Source organism: Homo sapiens, chromosome 4, assembly GCF_000001405.40.
Source record: "Homo sapiens chromosome 4, GRCh38.p14 Primary Assembly".
NCBI classification, from domain to species: Eukaryota; Metazoa; Chordata; class Mammalia; order Primates; family Hominidae; genus Homo; species Homo sapiens.
In genome coordinates, this window is record NC_000004.12 from 165,372,092 (window position 1) to 165,389,425 (window position 17,334).

General features: G+C 38.8%; 1 protein-coding gene and 1 non-coding gene across 2 annotated transcripts in view, besides 2 other annotated features; both read left to right on the forward strand.

Moving 5' to 3' along the window:
• The window catches only part of CPE (carboxypeptidase E), a 119,540-nt gene continuing 109,122 nt past the window's right edge, over positions 6,917 to 17,334 (forward strand). Inside the window, exon 1 of the mRNA NM_001873.4 lies at positions 6,917 to 7,437. Within this exon, the coding sequence (NP_001864.1) occupies positions 7,131 to 7,437 (307 nt within the window). The 5' untranslated portion in view covers positions 6,917 to 7,130. The remainder of the gene's footprint in view (positions 7,438 to 17,334) is intronic.
• Positions 6,950 to 7,209: a silencer, noted in NCBI's record as "silent region_15785". NCBI's record gives its function as "represses an Ori minimal core promoter by ATAC-STARR-seq in GM12878 lymphoblastoid cells {active_cell/tissue: GM12878}" and the evidence as "EXISTENCE:reporter gene assay evidence [ECO:0000049][PMID:35858748]".
• Positions 8,689 to 9,233: an enhancer, noted in NCBI's record as "NANOG hESC enhancer chr4:166301932-166302476 (GRCh37/hg19 assembly coordinates)". NCBI's record gives its function as "activates a minimal SCP1, AML or CMV promoter by ChIP-STARR-seq in primed H9 embryonic stem cells {active_cell/tissue: H9 hESC(primed)}" and the evidence as "EXISTENCE:reporter gene assay evidence [ECO:0000049][PMID:30033119]".
• On the forward strand, positions 14,151 to 14,246 carry MIR578 (microRNA 578). Its single transcript, NR_030304.1, has one exon. It is a non-coding gene; the product is annotated as a microRNA 578 (primary transcript).

Sequence of the window (17,334 nt, forward strand, 5' to 3'; positions counted from 1 at the left end):
CATTTTGTCTCCTCTTGATTAAGTCTTGGTAGGTTGTATGTTTTTAAGAATTTATCCATTTCTTCTAGGTTATCCAATTTGTTGACATATTGTTGTTCATAATAGTCTCATGATTCTCTATTTCTGTGGCATTTGTTTTAATATCTCTGCTTCCATTTATGATTTTATTTATTTGAGTATTTTCTCCTCATTTTTCTTAGTTATTTTAGGTAAAGATTTGCTGATTTTGTTTTTCTTAGAAACTCAGTTTTGTTGATTTTTTCTATATTCTATTTTATTTATATTTGCTGTAATCTTTATTACTTCTTTCCTTATGCTAGCTTTGAACTTAGTTTGTTATTCTTTCTCTAGTTTATTGAAATGTAATGTTAGGCTGTTTATCTGAGCCCTTTTTTTCTTTTTTTACCATACATGTTCATTACTATAAACTTCTCTCTTAGTACTGCTTCTGCTGCATCCCATAAATTTTTGTATATTGTGCATTCACTTGTGTTGAAATTTTTTTTTTTTTTTGAGACAGAGTTTTGCTCTTGTTGCCTAGGCTGGAGTGCAATGGTGTGATCTCGGTTCACTGCAACCTCTGCCTCCCAGGTTCAAGTGATTCTCCTGCCTCAGACTCCCAAATAATTGGGATTACAGGCATGCACCACCACGCCTGGCTAATTTTGTATTTTTAGTAGAGACGGGTTTTTACCATGTTGGTCAGGCTGGTCTTGAACTCCTTACCTCAGGTGGTCCACCCACCTTGGCCTTGCCAAGTGCCGGGATTATAGGCATGAGCCACCGTGCCCTCCCCTTGAAATATCTTCTAATTTATCCTTTGATTTTTTTCTTCGGCCCAATGGTTATTTAAAAGTGTGATGTTTAATTTCCACATATTTGTGAATTTTCCAGTTTTCCTTTTGTTTTTGATTTCTAGTTTCATTTCATTGTGGTCAGAAAAGATATTTGGTATGATTTCAATCTTAAATTTGTTGAGACTTATTTTATAGCCTAACATGTGATCACATGTGAATTTGACACTGTTCTGCATGCACTTGAGAAGAATGTATTTTGCTGCTATTGAGTGGAATGTTATGTATATGTCTTTTAGGTCCATTTGGTCTATACTGTTGTTCAAGTCTGCTGTTTCCTTTTTGATTTTCTGTCTGAATGTTCTATCAATTATCGAAAGTAGGGTATGAAGTCCCCTATTTTATTGTGTTGCTCTCTACTTTTCCTTCAAGCCTGTCAATGTTTGCTTTATATATTTTGGTGCTCTAATGTTGGGAGCATATATATATTTTTTTTATTATACTTTAAGTTTTAGGGTACATGTGCACAACGTGCAGGTTACTTACATATGTATACATCTGCCATGTTGGTGTGCTGCACCCAGTAACTCGTCATTTAACATTAGGTATATCTCCAAATGCTATCCCTCCACTCTCTCCCCACCCCACAACAGGCCCCAGTGTGTGATGTTCCCTTTCCTGTGTCCATGTGTTCTCATTGTTCAATTCCCACCTATGAGTGAGAACATGCGGTGTTTGGTTTTTTTGTCCTTGCGATAGTTTGCTGAGAATGATGGTTTCCAGCTTCATCCATGTCCCTACAAAGGACAAGAACTCATCATTTTTTATGGCCGCATAGTATTCCATGGTGTATATGTGCCACATTTTTTAATTGTTACGTCTTCTTGATGATTTATCCCTTTCATCATTAAATAATGGGGACCTCCTATGCCAGTTTCTGACTTAAATTCTATTTTATTTGATATGATTATAGTTATCCTTGATCTCTTTTGGTTATCATTTGCATGGAATATCTTTTTTCATCTCTTTACTTTTAGCCTATGTGTATCTTTGATTCTAAAGAATGCCTCCTGCTCACAACATATAATTATTTTTTTAATCCATTCAGCTATTCTACGTACTTTTATTGGAGCATTTAATCCGTTTACATTTACATTATCGATAGGTAAGGATTTACTATTGATATTTTGTCATTTTCTGTTTTGTAGTTCTTTTGTCTCTCTTTTCCTCTGTTGCTGTCTTCCTTTGTGTTTTGCTGATTTTTTTGTAGTGATATGCTTTGATTCCCTTATTTTTTCTTTTGTATGTATGTATTTATTTCTTTTTCTTTATCTATTGTATGTATTTTCTTTATGGTTTCCATGTTTCTTTGTCTCTCTCTTCTCCTTCTGGACACCCATAATCAATATATTTGTTCACTTGGTGGTGTCTGATAATTCCCTTAGACTCTCTTCACTCTTTTTGATTTTCTTTGCTTTTTGCTTCTCTGACTGGATAATCTCAAATGACCTGTCTTGGAGTTGACTAATTCTTCTGTTTGATCAAATCTGCTGTTAAACCCTTATGATGAATTTCTTATTTCAGTTATTGCATTCTTTCACCTCAGAATTTCCATTTGGTTCTTCTTTATCTTTTCTATTTCTTCATAATATTCTCATTTATTTAATGTGTTATTTCCCTCATTTTGTTTAGTTGTCTATCTGGGTTCTCTTGTAACTTGTTGAGCTACTTTAAGATGATCATTTTGAATTCTTTGTCAGACAATTCATAGATCTCCATTTTTTTAGGGCCAGTTGTTGTATATTTATTTTGTTCTTTTGATTGCGTTTTATTTTCCTGTTTCTTCATGTTACTTGTAGCTTTGCATTGATGTCTTTACATGTGACATCCATGTCTTAATGACATGTTCTCCACTCTTAATGAACTGGCTTTGATAGGGAAAGACAGCCCAGATAGAGTTTCTGGGTCTTGTTCCTAGGTCCTGATCCAGGTGTTCAGTCTTTTTCTTTTCTTTTCTTTTTTCTTTTCCTTTCTTTTCTTTTCAGCACTAGCAATCTCTTGCTCCCTCTGGTTCCCATGTCAGTCTCATCTGTGCTCCATATGAGATGAGATAGAAACTAGCTCTTCAGGGAGCTCACTGAAAGGCTCAGGACATTAGAGTCATGATCCACTCCTCCTTCTTTCCTGAAGGAGAGGCCTTAGTTCTATGCCTTCTACAGATCTCTCCGAGCCTTGCCAGCCATGGGAAGGTGCCCATTCTCCTAGCTTTCCCAGGCATCTGGACTATGCCATGTCTTTAAGCACTCTGTAAGAGGCACAACAGAAGCCAGCCCCTTGAGGGGTGTACTGAAAGGCCAGAAATGTTGGATGCTCACCCTACTCTCTATCCCCTGCCCTCCCTACACCAGGAAAGGATTGTAGTCTCTCTGGTGCTGAGTTGTACTCGCAGGTAAAGTGAAATAGCTTTTCTTATCTGTTTCAGTGTGGCTGATTGTGATTTTTTGTTTGTCTGGGGTACTGAAATTTCTTAACTTAATCCTGAACTTCTTATGAAGCTAATTTGTTACTTATATCACTGTTAAATCTGTGTTTCTGTTGGGAAATGAGGGCTGGAACTTCCTATTCTGCTATCTTGCTGACATCACTCTATCCTTGATGTTCTTGAGGTTATTTATGTCTATTGTATCTGTATGGGGGAGATGTATGTATTAGTGGTGGTTCTGGCTCAGAGTCTCTAATGTGGCTGTGGTAAACCTCAGATGTCAGAGATGGAGCCCTCTTGAGGCTCAGGTGGGGCTGAGATCTGCCCCTGCCCACCCACATGGTTGTTGACAGACCTCAGTTCTTAACTGAATGCTAGACCGAGGATGTCAGTTTCTCTCAGGCTGTTTGCCAGATGCCTCAGTTCCTTGCTATATAAGCCTCTCCACAATATGGCAGACAACTTCCCCAAGACAAGCGATGGAGTGATGGGGGACTGGGGGAAGGAAAGGAGGGAGAGAGAGAGGGAGAGGGGGAGGAGAGAGCGCACACACAAGCATGAGAGAGCAATTAAGATGGGAGCTGCAGTCTTTTTAATAACCTAATTTTGGAAGATCATCTCATTACTTTTGCTGTGTTATGTTCATGAGAAAACCACTAAGTCCTGCCTACACTCAGATGGAAGAAATTAAGTTTCATCACTTGCAAAGGAGGAGTATAAAGAATTGTCCCATCACAACACTATATGATGTCATGCTACTGCATATCTCTTCCTAACACTGTATTCAGTGATACAACATTGGTAGTTTGAAATCAGCCATGGTGGGAATATTTAAACCATGGAAATTAGCAAACATTCTAAGTCAGACTTTTCCCCCCAGACAGCTGACATTTACCAGCACACATCAGGATGAATATAGAGCTATGTGTTCACAAAATTTTTATGAAGTAGACGAATTTTAGGAAGGGCTTTGAAAGAAGGAAATAAAATATTATTGATAAAGAAAAAGATAGTTTCTTAATTTAAAGATAATAGAGGTGAAGCAAGAAGTGGAGGGAGACCTAGGGAGTTTAAATATGCTCTTATGGATGCCTATAATGACATGAAGAAAAAGCAGCTCTTTCTTTCTCTTTTTGTTTCTTGTGTGTGCATGTGTGCACATGATTTGAAATGGAGATTGCATACTAAATTTAACTATGTGTACACACATTAAAGACTTGGCATACAAGATTTTTCTTTAATCCAGCAATCAGGATGGGTATATAATCTTTTACATAATTGCCTATGAAGCCACAAACAAGTAATCCATACGCCAGTAAAGTTGATACAGCTGACCTATACCTAAAATAGCTCAGAAATTCAAAGACCAAATTTTAGTTCATTTGAACTGATGCCTTGGTGTATGTAGTACGACCAATAATATGTGAGGAGTGCCACCATTTATCAAATGAGCAGGAATTCACTTCAAAAAGAAAATTTCCAGAATCATAGCATTTTAGGTCTGAAAGAGACAGTGGGAAACCTACAGTACATTATTTCTCAAAATGTCTTTGTCAATCAAACATCAACATCAGAAATGACTGGTCTTCTTTTTAAAACCTAGAAGCTTGTTAATACCTGAAACCCACCCCAGACCTGATGAATTCATAGGGGCTTAAGAATCTGCACATTCTATAAACTCTCTACATGATTCTGTTGCAAGCAAACGTTAGAGAGTGAAAAATCCAAACCTTTTATTTTATAGATTAGGGAAACAAACAACTAAGCTGTAAAAGAGAACCCCCTGCCCAACAAGTGAGACCACATAGTAGGCATGATTTTACACATTACAATTTTTTTTTCTCCAAAATAAAATTTTTTAAATCCAGCAATCAGGGTGGATATATAATCTTTTGTATAATTGCCTATGAAGCCACAAACAAGTAATACATATGCCAGTAAAGTTGGTACAGCTGACCTACACCTAAAAATAGCCCAGAAATTCAAAGACCAAGTTTTCATTCCAAAATTTTTTATTTTGGAGAAAATAGAACGCATATCCTTTGTTCAAAGAGACAGCTAAGGAACAACACAGGACTTCAATGAAAAATATGTTGTTTATGTGTGTAGTTACTAGTCAGTATGCCCCACCTAGCCACAAATTAGTGTGGTTACTCTAAATTGCTAACATGAAAATCTTAACCTCCTACTTCTGAAGTTATTTGGTTTTAGCTACTCAATTTTTTTTTCTAGGCTTCCAAGGTTGCTGTTTTGGGCATGGTTTTAGAAATATAATTATAAGTTTGATTTCAAACTTCTGGACCATGTAATCAAGCACAGACTGGTCATAGTGGAAAATATACAATTTTTAGCTCTGCCTACATTGACAAAAAAAAAAATGGCTGGATCCACATCAATTCAACTTGAGTGCCATGTGTTTACAGTGACAGTTTCTCCCCGAAAACGCAAAAAAAAAAAAAAAAAAAAAAAGAAGATCCATGCTGCTGTAGTATATGTACATAGGGGTGTTTAAAGCCAGCCCCTCCAGCAGCACCTTACCAACCATGTCTGTGCTTTTATTTATTGATCCAATAAGATGACTTAAATATCTAACTCCTTTTCCACGTAAAAGTTTTTATTATGTGCAATGCATTGTTAAACAGGTGAAGAATGAACAAGTTTAGAAAAACAAAGAAGCTTAACATGGAAAATTACCCGCATGGTGTCCACTTTTCCTGCTCGGTTGCAATACCCAATGGATTATTTATTAATTTAGATTTGTGCTGTCCCTGAATCCAAACAGCAGCCTCTTTAGAGTAACATCTGCTCCAGACATTGCTCCAGGAATATAAATCCCGACTAAGGGGTGGATATTTAAAGCTGTAAATGATTTTTTATTTTTACAATAGCTTTGCAAAAGGAACGGAGGTGTCATGTCATCATCAGAGTTTTCTTAACAGGATTTAATCTTAATGCCAAACTAAATCCTTTGTCTAAAGCATCAGCAGAGTTGTACTTATTTTCCCCATAGTATTAAAGAGGAGGGCTGGTGCAGGCACAGCCATATGACATTGCCTTATTTATTTTGTCTGTTTGTTTTCTGGAAGAATCTAGGAATGTGCATAAATACAATTAAGGACAGTATCTACAAATTGGAAGAAAGCATTTCTATTCTCTTAAACCTCTAAATCAAAGCACTTAATGTTCTGATTTCCAGCAAGACCTTCTAATAAATGAAAACCCAACCCTTGGGTTTGTGTTTTGACTCTTGATACAATTATGAAAGACGCATCAGGAGATGGCAAGTGGCTGCCAGTACTTCCTTTTTTCTGGAATATTCTCTAATTCTTGGTGGATCAAGATGGAAACTGGTAGGCTTGGAATAGATGTCCCTTTAAAAGGCTCCACTAACAATACAAGAATATTTTTTCCATACGCAGTGACGTGGGTGGGTCATGGGTGTCTCAATGACAGTAACGTTCCCGAACCCCGGACCTTAGCTGTCATTTCACCTGCGTCGTCCCGGACGCCATTTGGCTGTTGACGTGGTTCCGAGCCAGCAAATAACGCCAGCAGCCCTCCCAGATCCACGCCGGCCCGTCTCTCCGCCGGCCCCCTCCTCGCAGTGGTTTCTCCTGCAGCTCCCCTGGGCTCCGCGGCCAGTAGTGCAGCCCGTGGAGCCGCGGCTTTGCCCGTCTCCTCTGGGTGGCCCCAGTGCGCGGGCTGACACTCATTCAGCCGGGGAAGGTGAGGCGAGTAGAGGCTGGTGCGGAACTTGCCGCCCCCAGCAGCGCCGGCGGGCTAAGCCCAGGGCCGGGCAGACAAAAGAGGCCGCCCGCGTAGGAAGGCACGGCCGGCGGCGGCGGAGCGCAGCGATGGCCGGGCGAGGGGGCAGCGCGCTGCTGGCTCTGTGCGGGGCACTGGCTGCCTGCGGGTGGCTCCTGGGCGCCGAAGCCCAGGAGCCCGGGGCGCCCGCGGCGGGCATGAGGCGGCGCCGGCGGCTGCAGCAAGAGGACGGCATCTCCTTCGAGTACCACCGCTACCCCGAGCTGCGCGAGGCGCTCGTGTCCGTGTGGCTGCAGTGCACCGCCATCAGCAGGATTTACACGGTGGGGCGCAGCTTCGAGGGCCGGGAGCTCCTGGTCATCGAGCTGTCCGACAACCCTGGCGTCCATGAGCCTGGTAAGGGCGCTGCCCCCTGACAGCCCTGGGGGCATCCCGGAGGGGGGCGGCAGAGGGTGGGACTGGTGGCGGTGGGGGAAGGAGGGAGGGATGGGCCCAGGGGTGCCTCTTGGTAAAAGGTATCTAAGGTGGAAGGTGGGAAGTGGAGGGAGGGATGGAAATGGGGAAGAACCCGACTTAGAGCGCCAGTGGCCCAATTTCTGCTTTCCCGTCCCATCCCCCCAGCACCAATCCCATCTCCCCAGACCTTAGGCCACCCTCTAGTAAGTATAGGCTTGGGAGGCTGGGGTGGCGGGGGATGGGGGGGATAGCAATACAGAAAAAACAAATCCTGACGCACGCAACCCCAGCGGTCGCTCTCACTTTGCTGTGTGAAAAACCCAAAGGAATGATTGCGAGTCCCCCGCAAGGGGGGTTGGTCTTCCTTGCTGACAAGAGTAGAAAGATAAGGTGCAGAAGGCAGTGATTGAGAGGAAAGGAGAACGAGGGAGAAAGAGTCATTTATCATGTTTTCTCTAATTTCCAGAGGACCAGTTTATTGGCTCTGTGTACCCATCTCTACCTGTGTGTGTATACGTATTAGGTACACTCGCTGCTGTGGATGCTTGGGGAATCTTAGGGATATTGCCAATCTGGGGTGGTGGTGTATAAAGATACGTTGGTGCCCCTCCTCCTACCAGGGTGAAAAGTGGTTTCTGACTTTTGAAACCAGATTTTGAAACTGCACAAGGCCTTTCCAAGGAAAAAGGAGTATTCCATTTTCTCTGCTATAACCATTTGAGATGAATAGTTTGTGATGGGGTCTTTATTCCAACTGATGTTCCCAAATAACCATCTGTATTCGTCTTTCCTAGGAGTATATTAAAGCACCTTTTGGTTTATGTTAATTGTGATGCATTTAGTATTAATAAAGAGGTATTTAAAAATGTTCTTGGGACTTTTTTCGTTATGTTTCTGCTTAGGAAATAATTTGGGCCTGGTCTTCTGATAATCAAGGTACAGCTAAAGTAATCTGTGCTAATAATATCAGCATGGGATGGATGCTTAATTTTTGTTTAATGACAAAGCAAGCAAGAAAAGTAGGCTAAAAATTCTCAGTGCAGGGCCAGTATAGTTTTATAATGATACGTAAGAACCAAACTGAGAAGAGATTAAAATAAGTGATCAATAGACATTTTGATCTTCAAATATATAGTAGGTGGGTTGATCAAGAATAAATCTTCAGGAAATATTTCTTACCTTCAAATAATATAAGAAAAAAAGGTTCATGTAAGTTTGCTGTCAAAATTCTAAGATCAGATCCTAGAAAACATTTAATATTAACTACTCTTATCTACCAGGATTCAGCATGTAGGATTGGACATTTTGAAACTTAGTTTCATACTGTTATCTGAAGACAGGGAAAAATTTAAAATGTGATAACTGATTTTCAGCTAAATCCAATAACCAAAGCCAAGATATCCTAGGCACAGTTAAAGCTAATGTAAGTATTTGTGAGTCTCCTGCTGCTTACTTAATGAGAACCCTTTGTTACTCTATTTTGTAGATTGATCCCAGAGTTTTTTGCGTTGTTACTTCAAGAGATTATATGAAAGCTAATGTTTAACTTTTTGTTGTTTCAAATTTGGAAATAAAATTTTAAAGTGATATTACAGTTAGAATGTGATATGCTTTAGAAAATGAAAACAATGATTTCTTTGCTTAAGTATCTGGAATATATAGTTCATCAAGGTTTGCAAATCCTTCTTTTAGATTGCAAGCTGTATGAAGTGGGGACCCTGATTCCAGCACCCAGCTCATGTTTGGCACACAGCGGGCTTGAATATACATTATGAAATAATCTACATTATGGAAAAATACTGAATATGCAGTGTGGAAAAAATGAATCCATCAATAGCTGCATAACACAGTGTATTAAAATAAAATGTTTTATTCTTCATACATTCAAAATACGTTGATTGAATTCCTCTTACAGAGACAAACTCGGAAGTGTTGTACAATATGTACTTTACAATTCCTTTTTAAATGAAGGAGACTCTAAGTCTATGGTATTACTAATAGAATACAAAATGTCTGTGTCCCTTATATTTTTAAAAGTAGAAATAAACTATTATAAACCAACACTAACAAAAGTACAAGGTGATATCCCCCTCCATCACCTTTTATGAGCGTCAAGGAGGTTAGAGATCTTCAGGAAACTAGTAAATATAGAGATCTGATCAGTATACAAGTTTGATGGTGCTTGTGTGAATTAACTTTAAGGAAGTTTGGAAAAAGGAAAATGTTCACCATTCTTAAATGGCCTTTCAGTTTCTTTTAGGTTAAACTATTTTAAGAAGTAAAAAGGAATACTTATTCTGAGGTACAAGTGGGCTCATTCAGTGTTTTTTTTGAGCACCTGTATACTCAAGGTGGACCAGGCGTCTGTGAGTTGTGCCTCTGCACAACCCATAGAAGATAACACAGAAGATAGTCGCTTGCCCTGAGGGCAATAGAGAATTGGGAGCTTGAAGAACAGCATAAAGGGATGTGAGGCTGCAAGATCGGCTTTGGGAGGACTGGAGAAAAAGACAGTAAGGTCAGCAGGTCAGGGAGACTGGATTATTGAAGAATTGATGACAAAAGACAGTAGGTCAGCAGGTCAGGGAGACTGGATTATTGAAGAATTGATGACAAAAGACAGTAGGTCAGCAGGTCAGGGAGACTGGATTATTGAAGAATTGATGACAAAAGACAGGAAATGTACAGTTTGTTGACATTTACAAATTCCAAAATAGCTGGTATAGATATCTGTCTTCACTAGGACCCCTGCTTTTGAAAAAGGGCCAATTGTCTTTACTATTTTCACCTTTTAAGTACCTTATTTTTTGGTTTGAAATAACCTTTCTGATTCAGCTTTAGGAAATAATATTGAACTTAAGAAATGTGTTTACTTGACTGAAATTTTGAGGTGAAATTGCTCACTTTTGTTTTATTTTCCAGCAAGAGAGGTGTCAGATTTGTTGATTAGTTTTCTTAATCTAGATTCTTTTCCTGAACATTAAAAAAACAGTGGATTTCTAAGGATTTAGTTGTCGTAACAGAAGAACTCCAAGAAAATACAACAACATACCCACAAAAAGCCCTTTCTTGTGGTAGAATAAGCAAGCTAGAGGTTTACTTTGTTAGACTAGCAGTTTTTGGACAGAGATGTTTGTTGATACAATTAGCTCTCTTCCTGAGCAGAAAGAAGTGATCTTTATACATGCTTGGTACAGGACATGGGGTGTAGTTGAGGTTATCTCCTGAAAATGACTTTCTTTGCAAGATGTTCAACTTTTGAATTCATCAAAAGGCAAAGCAAATTCCATTTTGAATTGGTCATTGAGGAATAGCCAAACCTATTCTGTGATGACATCTTAGGAATCAGCTTGATTGTTGACCAGCTGAATGTTGGGTCTCAGTCATCATTTTGTATCACTTCTGAGGTCTGCAAAAATCTATTGAAAGAGAGTTGCGAGTAGCAGCCAATTTCAATAAGCAGAATCACAAATGGTCCTGTCATTGGTCTCATCTTTTCAGACATTGTTAAGTCTGGACCCCAGATGGGTTTCCTCTACACTGGGAGTTAGTGTTTGTGGCCCATTTGGAACTGGGATGAAGAATGGGCTTAGACTAGGCTAGGGGCTGATTCTAAGTGCTCAAATATGTCCCCATTAGATATCATACCTGCTAGGCATGATCATTTTTCCCGTTTTTCTTTCCTTTTACTTAGATTTTATACTTTTTTCTTATTTCCATGCTTAAGGACTCACGTATTCAAACCCAAACATATGCCTTCCTAGGCATGTATATCCATCATCGAAATACAGTACTCATAAAAGAAACCTTTATTAACTTATGTCTAAGTAATGGATTCTGTGTTCCCAGACCACTCGACCCGGAGTTAAATATGAGTTAAGATTAATTTGCTTAAAACACTATTTCTTTTACACGTAGTTCAAGATAGCTTTTGGGAAGTAAATCTGATTTATAGCTAAAACGCTATCTCAAAAACATTCTTTAGAGCAGGATTTTTCTTTCTCAAAGGCTGGAATGATTATTTTGGACGTATTCCTCTCTGAATCTGTTAAAATATAAAGTGTATAAATGCCAGTATGAATTTGCCAAATATTGTGATGGAACATTTAATGCTGGCAAAGTTTCCACACAACTTGAAAAAAATAAGTGGGGATTTTTATTATTTGTATGGCGTCTTTTTATAGCAGATTAGTATGTGTTAGTGGCAAATGGTTACAACTAAGTAACAACTTAAAATTCGTGAAGATAGATGTTAGATCCTAGAGAAGAATCTAGACCTACCACACATGGTCAAGAGTTATTTTTAGACCTGAATGAGTCAACACAGCTTTTGCCAGAAGTGATGTTCTTGATTGACTTGTAATTGGTTAATGGAAGAGAAGGCAAGTTGGGCTTGCCCCTACATGATAGCCTTTGCTCAGACAAAAGAGGCAGCTTTCTGTGACAACTGATTTCAGAGGTGGCAGACGACTCATTTGCTAGTAACTCCCTTACCGTCTTACCACGGGGCGAAATCCTATTTCTAAATATTATTAAGAAATACAAAATAGCTCTTGTAACGGGTGACACATTAACCCAGCTTTTCTCAAAATATATTCCATAGAACATATATTCAGCATGGTTTGATAGGCATTATGTAAACAAAGATAAACAGGTTTGTATATTGAAAGACCTAACAGAGCTCTTAATAGGCTAATGTATGTTTCAAATCTCCAAGTTAGATTCGTACTGTATAAGATTTCCCAGGCTTTTACCATGGGATTTCCTCCTCTCCCGCTGGCTGGTGGCTCACACCTGGTTGAGGCAGGAGGAGTGCTTAAGGCTAGGAGTTTGAGATCTGCCTAGGCAACATCATGAGATCCTGTCTCTACAAAAAAATAAAATTAGCTGGGCATGGTAGCATTTGCCTGTAGTCCCAGCTACTTGGGGGGCTTAGGAGGGCGCTTGAGCCCAGGAATTTGAGGCTACAGTGAGCCATGATTGTACCACTGCACTCCAGCCTGGGCGACAGAGCGAGACCCTATCTCAGAAACAAAATAACAACAACAACAATAAAAAAGGGAGCTTATCTTGGAAGTAGTGTTACACTTCCATTAGCCCATTATCATTCTTTATCATAGTATTAAAGATTCATTTGTCACATGAGACTGGATGTAGAACAAAGAAAAAAATGATTCAGTTGGCAATTCTCCAGCAGAGGGCCTCATACAGGGAGCTCTTCAGGGGTAGGGAACATATGTTTTCCATTTTTTCCCTCCATAAACAGCTAGTGTAGTGGTTTATGTAGAGTAGGCTTTTAAGTTTTGCTTAGAATCAGAGCATGATTCTGAGGCAATGAGGCAGAGGAGAAATAATTTTGTTTGTTTGCTTTTTTCTCTCTCTTACAGAGCTGAAAAGGACACATAATTTTGATGAAAATGATTAAAGTTAGACAAATGCACCACAATTCTTCTTTTATTGTTAAATAGCTTCATGCTTTTTACTTTTGTTCACCTCTTTTCCTTGTGTATGACAAGGGAATACGTTAAGAACACAGAACTCACAGGATCGCTGTGAGGCCAAAGTAGTGTAGTATATAGAAACACATTTAATGAAGTTGCTTACATCTGGTTATTAAAAAGAAATGCTAATTTGTAAATATTCTTTTTTTACTTTCAGTTGGTCTGGAAACTGTGCTCCATGGCCTTTACACTCATTTAGAGTAGGCACTCTTGGCTGCATCGTCACGTGAGATCTGCCTCCACCAATCCTGCCAAATGCTTTCCTCTTAGGATGCTGTTGCACAGGCTTAGTTGATAGCCCTGAAGGACTTTTTCCCTCTTCTTACTGTTTTATTTTTGTTCACAAATGTTTGCTTTTTTTTTTTTTTTTTTGAGATGGGGTCTTGCTGTGTCACCCAGGCTGGAGTGAAGTGGCACGATCATGGCTCATTGCAGCCTTGAACTCTAGGGCTCAAGGTGTCTCCCTCCTCAGCCTCTTGAATAGCTGGACTACAGATGTGAGCCACCACACCCTGCCTGTTTGCCTTTTATCAATTTTAAAATGTGGGACATTCTTGCTTTTCTTCAGTTTGACATGATGATGAACAATAATCATCAAGCAAGCTTGAATCAAGCAAGCGTCACTCAATAGGACACTCAATAGGAACAAAGTGTGCATCAGTATTTGAGAATGTCTTTATGGTTGTTTCTTTAGGTAGCCAAATAAATCTACGGCAATATCAACATTTTCATTGGCAATCTGACTTATTTTCCTAAAGAATTTATGATGAAACTGCTCCAGTCCTGACTAACTTAGTCTTTTACAGTCTCAGCAGAAGCAAAAGCTCTTTGAAACCTCCTTTCTCCCCGCTCCCTAACTTTCTTACCCCTGCTGGGGCTCTTTCTTTATGCTTCCATATTTCTTTGGAGAGCTGTAAAGAATTACAGTGTGGACTTTGATGTCAGGGGACTTGAGCTCAAATCCTGAGGCTTCTTATTTTTAGCTGAGTGTCCCTGGGCAAGTCAATTAACTTCTCTCTATCTCCCAAATTCATCACCTATGAAATGACAATAATGTGATGATTAAATGAGGTGGTAAATATAAAGTTCTTAATTCAATATGTGGCAACAATTATTATTACCTCATTATGGTATTTCCCACTGTTGGTCTACAGATAAATCTATAGACAAAATACAATCCCGGACAACAAGAAGCTCCTATAGCTCCTGTAGCTTCTTGTGCTCTAGGATTGTATTTTGTTTATATATATTTTTTAATCCTGAATGTCTAGTATTATGCTTGGGACATAGTGGCCACTCAGTGAATATGTTTGAATAAATGAAATTTCTCAAATAGGCAAAAATGCATATCATAAAACAAAGCCATGTTGGTCGATGTTGACATCATGCATATTAGCATGCCAGTAGTGTGATAACAAGAAAGGATAGAGATGGTACTTTTCTTTTGCATATGCTTATTTTTTGTGTGCACTGAATCCAGTTTTGCATAATGGAGAAATATACCAATGTGAATTACATGTCTTTTCAAGTTTCAGTGCTGAACTTGCTGTGTTTGTTGTCTCATATAACTGGACTAGTAAGGGGCTGTCTTCCTTTTGGAAGAGAAGAGTCTTCAGACATCTTAGAAAGTTAAGCTGCTTTTTAAGTGTTAAATAAACATTTTAAAGATAATTGGTAAGCATTTATTTAGTAAAATTTTGACCTTTAAAAACTCTGCATGAGACCTGAGTGTTGAAAACTAAGAACTGTGTGCTTGTTTTTAACACAGAAGATATGTATCTCCAGGTTTTCATTTTCCTTTTTCTCATGAAATGGTATTCAAATCGTGCACTTTGAAATGCCACAGAGGAGGAGGTTTATCCGAGCTACGTGATGGGTCAAATGAACTTAAATTTGAAACATGTTTAAATTTGCCCTTTTGTTTCCTTCTCATTAATTACTGGAATTGCCGTGAGTCCGTTGCTCTGTGAACGTTTCTCTTTCTTTGAACATTCAGGATATGGTGTTTTGTAAGTGATCTAACAGCCAGCTTTTTCTAATAAAACATGGCCTAAGAGAAGAGCCTGTTTGTGTTACTAGTGTCTTTTATGATTTTCAAATGATTTACCCACTTCTTTAACTGTCCCTAGATGAGTAATCTTTGAAGGGTAGGGTGGCACATGTGGAGTATTAAAGAGATGGCTGTTAAGCAAAGATAAATGAATTACTTATGATAATACACCGTGGAACAACTTTCCACTACTGGTAAATATTTTGTTTTCTACAGAAATCTCTTTACTATCAAATCATTGCTAAACATCATAGTTCTATAATAATCCCCTCATTTGAAGACATTTCATTTCAAACAAAGGCTCATTATTTTAAAATGGATGCAAATTGTTTATTTTCTAAATAAGCCTAAATATAACTTAAATTCAGGTTGCTAAAAAACCTCTTCCTGGCCGGGCGTGGTGTCTCACACCTGTAATCCTAGCACTTTGGGAGGCCAAGGCGGGTGGATCACGAGGTCGGGAGTTCAAGACCAGCCTGACCAACATGGTGAAACCCCGTCTCTACTAAAAATACAAAAATTAGCCAGCCGTGGTGGCACATGCCTGTAATCCCAGCTACTCAGGAGGCTGAGGCAGGAGAATCGCTTGAACCTGGGAGGCGGAGGTTGTGGTGAGCGAGATCGCACCACTGCACTCCAGCCTGGGCGCAGAGTGAGACTCTGTTAAAACAAAAAGACCTCCATGTTGGTCAGGCTTGTCTTGAACTTCTGACCTCAGGGGATCTGCCCGCCTCGGTCTCCCAAAGTGCTGGGATTACAGGCATGAGCCACTGTGCCCAGCCCCCCAAAATTTCTTGCTGTGGTTATGCATGTCAAGGTAATTAGAAGGAACAATAATTATCGCATTTATTTGCTCAATGTAGGCAACTCCTCATATGTTCAGATCCCAAAGTGATGCTGACTGATTGGACCTATCCAATTTCTCTTCCTATACAGGCGAAAGTATTTAAAATCATAAAATCTTTCCTTCACTATGCAGCTGCTAGTCACTGCCATTGTGTAATGTTTTCTCCAAGAAATAGCTTATTTCTAGAACTCTGCTCAAAATTTGCACAAATCATAACCTTTAGCCATGAGTTCAGGGTAGTGAAACTTCAATATAAAGATCAGATTGTCACCTTCCTGACCCAGGTCTTGAATACCCTTTTTCCTTTTCTTTTTTTAGCCAAGTGGTAATTTCTAAAACAACCTTTCTTCATAGCTATTATAAAATATTACTGTGTGGCATTCCACACTGAAATTAACTTTCCAAGATGAAAATATAGGCCTTTTTTAAATAGAACTAATAATTTCAATGTAATTTAGGGACTATTTAATGAACACCTACTATGTCCATGCCATTTTACTTTACCTGTTGGTCACCCTTTGAGGCAATGCCATTGCGTTCCTTGAAATGTGTTATTTCATTTTTTTGCTTTGGATTCACTCTTTCACACACGTTGAGCTTATATTGCATACTGTATAACCAGTGGATACATTACTTGATTCTGCGTAATGCCTGCTGCATATGATGCAGGGGTTGAAGGCTTCTCTATCTTATTCTTAATGTAGCAAACACAAAGACAATATCTGTAGGGGAAACTACTGAAAATGTTAAAGACATTTGCAAAATGAAATACTTTTTGTCCTTTTTGTGTTTTAGTTGCAGTGCTGGACATCTGATTTTAAAGTACAACAGTCCTATTCAAACATTTTCATTTGTCTCAGATCTTGACATTGTTCAGCACAGATTTTTTTTCTTTAAGTTTACTAGAGGAAACCAGTCTTATTCATTGTGGGAACTCAGTAAATGTTAAGCCAGATTTTCAACATAACCAGCATCAGGGGAATTAATTTAATGCACTTTTGGAAACTGCATTAACTCCACAAAATCAACAAGACCTTTATAGAGCTCACACAAAGAGAAATCAGCTGCTACATGTATTTTCTCAAGAGTCAAATTCAGTTTTGAGAAAATGCTAAAGCCATAAAAATATAGAGATAGATAAATCTCATGTGAATACTATTACATAGATATATAATGAATGATACTATGTAGCTAAATAGACTGAAATACGATCTAGACATATAGGTTTTATTTAGGGTTCGATGATGGCAAGATAATTGTGAATGCAGAAGTCGTCTTTGTTTTAAATTTCAAATTAGTTTAACTATTTATATTTATAGATTTCACTCCTATCTATAAAATAGCCCTTGTTTTTCTTGTTTTTACTTCTACTTATAGCTATTGTCAGGAATTGAGAGTTTTTTCTTTAATCTGAGAGGTTGGTTCTTGTAAAAAATATG